This window comes from Homo sapiens, chromosome 10, assembly GCF_000001405.40.
Source record: "Homo sapiens chromosome 10, GRCh38.p14 Primary Assembly".
NCBI classification, from domain to species: Eukaryota; Metazoa; Chordata; class Mammalia; order Primates; family Hominidae; genus Homo; species Homo sapiens.
Window position 1 is genome coordinate 4,517,426 of NC_000010.11, and position 3,704 is coordinate 4,521,129.

A 3,704-nucleotide genomic window follows, 5' to 3' on the forward strand; every position below is an offset into this window, starting at 1 on the left:
CAACACTTCATTTCATTCTTAGAGACTTTAGTGCTCTTGCCATGGCTCTCTGAAATGTTGAACTATTTCTTCCTTTATGTGCTCATGGTCATGACTTTCCTCCATGATTTCTGAGCCACCAACATATAGAAATTACCTGAATTCGCTAACACTCTTATATGAAAAATCCAGTTGTCCCATTCTCCAATCACAATAATCTCTTACTGCTTTGCTTCCTTTGCTTAAGCGCCACATAAAAAAAATGCAACCTCACACAGACCCTTCATTTTCTCTTTATCAATTACTTCTGTCTTTATTTCTTGACTTACCTGGTTTATATTGCCTGGATCATGAATAAGTCTATCCCCTTGGAAATATTCTCACTTCCATTCCCTCCTTTTCCTCCTAGAAACACTTTAACCCTAGATGATTCAGAAATTTGTCTTCATTGTGCTTATAATGACCAATACTGCATAACATCATTAAATTTGGCAGCTAAGTGTCACCATATATTCATAAATTTCAAAACAAAATGGTCACTCAATGTTATATTATAGTCAGCTAACCCTCGCAGGCTTTCTGTGCTATTTCATAATATGCCTTTTTCCAAATTTTCTACTTCTCTTCCCTTGCATTATGATTCATTAATGACTTTGCCATGAGATGGGAGCTGTGTTTTTCTTCAGTCACCAAATCTGCAAGTCTTCCTGCACCTGCACCTATTTTCTTTTATTTTTTAATTGTACAAGCATACAATGCTACCAAATGTGGATTCACTTTCTGTGATGAATTAAAAATGTTCAATAGGCAATTATTACATCCTTCACTTTCTAGGATTTGGGGCATAGTAGTAAAAATGATAGATTAGATTTCCTTTCCCATTGAAATTTTATTCTAGTGGATGAATAAACAGACAAATAACTAAGATATTAGATAATTACAATGAAGATATTAGATATCTACATTCTTAACAAATTTTCAGTACACAATACAATGTTACTAACTTCATTTATTACCTGTTTAACTCATGGTTTACATTTACTTTTTAGACATTCATCTGAGATAACCACATCTTTTCACCTTTACCGTTTGTCTCCTTAACTCACCATCCCCTAGTTTTCATGTCTTTTTAGTCTCCATTGGTCTGGGAGAATTTCTTCAGATTTATTTGTGTATCATGACCTTGATGCTCTTGAAGAGTACTGGTCAGTTATTTTGTAGATTGTCCCTCAATTTCAATGTCTCTGATGGTTTCTCATGATTAGATTGAGGTGATGAGTATTCGGCAAAAATACTGTCTCTGGCAGTTCTTTATAGCAGTGTAAGAATGGACCAATACACCCACCACTGCGATGTTCCTCAGTTCCCAAGGTCCTGGGTCTGCCTGATTTCTTCTCTCCATTTCTTCTTTAGAATCTTCACATAAAAAATATGTATGTATACGTTTCAAGATTTTTTTATTACACTTAGAAAGATAAAGTATTTCTACTCTAGTTTTTCCAGTAAGCAAAATTCTAGAAGAAGCAGAAGCCTGTTTTCTAACTTTTAAAAAGTTTTTTTTGTATTTTTATTGAGATTGTGTTAACTTTGTAATGTAACTTAACTTTTCATAGAATTAACAGGTATATAATGTTGAGTCTTTCTCTTTGAGAATAATAAATGTTTTCCTGTTTGTTCAAATCTACGTTTATGTTTTTCAGGGATGGTTTTAAATTTTCTTCCTGCTACTTTTACACATTTAAAAAAGTTTATTAGCAAATTCACTAAGTTTATTTTCAAGGAGAACCATCGTTATTGAAATTGTAAATTGTGTACTCTCTACTGTTGTATCTTTTTAACTTTTTTTTGTGATATGGAAGCTATTATTTGTAATACTTACTAAATTCTTTCATTGTTTGAGTTGGTTTTATCATTGTTTATATAGAATTTTGCAGTTATACTATCATTTTATCTGCATATATAGAATGTTTTGCTTGTTGCTTTTATCAATTATTAATCATCTGATTAATTTATCTTGCCTAATTTCATTGACTAATACCTCCTGTACGCTGTTAAACAGTAATGCAGATACAGTTTTTCAGGAATAGAATCTAGCTGATATATGAGGAATTAGAATATTGCCCCTGTGAAATCACCCAGCCCTGGTGAGGTTTTAGGTTTTTTGTTGTTGTTTTTGTTTGTTTATTGTTGTTTTGCTTGCTTTGGTTTTGTATAGTTCCTGGAATACGTTCTTCTCCATAGAAATTAATCTGTTTACACTTTCTGTGTTTAATGGGGTCAGTTTTGGGATGCAGGTAAATCATTGACCAAATTGCTTCTTTTGCCACTTGTCTGTTTCTGACCTTGCAGGGATCACCTGCGATATGAGGGACTGCGATATGATGGACTGCGACATGATGGTCCTGGTGACCAAGGTTACATGGAGAGTGAGTAATATTTTAGTGAAATGACTACTAATGTTATGTGCTGCTGTGCACCTGTTTCTAATTGCCCTGACTCTAGTGTTGTGCTTCCTAAGCAAAATCTTTGCTTTTCAAGTTACTTCATTATTAACTCAAGCAGTATTACTAAAAATGGGAAAAAAATCTCTTACACACATTACTTACTTTTAGTTTGGAAAGCTATCACAATAAAATTATTTTACTTAATTCTTCTTGGTATTTTATCTTCTAAGTGCTTCAATGGTTCATAACATTTTGCTAACATTGAAGATAATTTTTTCTTCTCTTATGCATGAATTCATTGTTCCTGATTTGGATAATATGATGCAATATTTCCACAGCCTTCCAACACCCTTCACTCTGATTGTGTCATCAATATGATGATTCACAAGAATGTCCAGAGAGACCCTATATTTCCCAACACATGTCTCCATGAGATAGGAGCAATGATTCTTGGCATAGCCTTGTAATATGTATACATTTTTTTAAAGTCTTTGCTGAATAAAAGCAAATTGAGTCTGAAATTCCTTATCAAAATGGAAAAAATTCAAAAAACAAAACCTACTAGAGGAGTCTATTTGTGCTATTTATAATCCCAGGGCATTAAGCATTTATTTCTGAACCTGGATAATATTTCTTGAGATTTTTTTCACAGATTCCTTTGACAACCAATGATTGGCTGTTCCTGCCATGATTTGCTACATTGTCTGAGTAGCCAAATTAGGAAATTATGTTATAATTCTCTTCTTCCTTTTCCAAATATTTCATGTTTTGAGAGATTATTTTTTCCGTCTTTTAGCCTGATTCTACACCTGAGGTTTCAACTATGAATTCTAGGAAGGATCATTTGATTTGTTCCAATTTAAATAGTTCTCAATGCTGGCACAGTTGTATTTATTATCAGAATTTTAGTTTTCTATTTTCAAATGCTAGGAACAATTCTGCACTTTTCAGACAATTTGTCACTTATGGTCCAGTATAGTCAATGCTAATTTTATGTTGATTTTTTTTTAATCTATCTTTAAGGTTTTAAATCAGATACAATCTGCTCCTATCATTATGTTGAAAATGGAGGAAATCAACTTTCATATGAGACCACCACTACTCATTTAGTGGTGAGTAGCGCAATGCTTTGAGCAAGTACTGAATCTGAATCCCATCCATACTAATTACATTTGTGAATACTTGGACATATTGTACATCTCTTCTGGATCTTACTAGCTACCTCTATAAAATTTTACTAATAATTTTAAATTAAAAAGAACTGTGTCTATATCCATAATT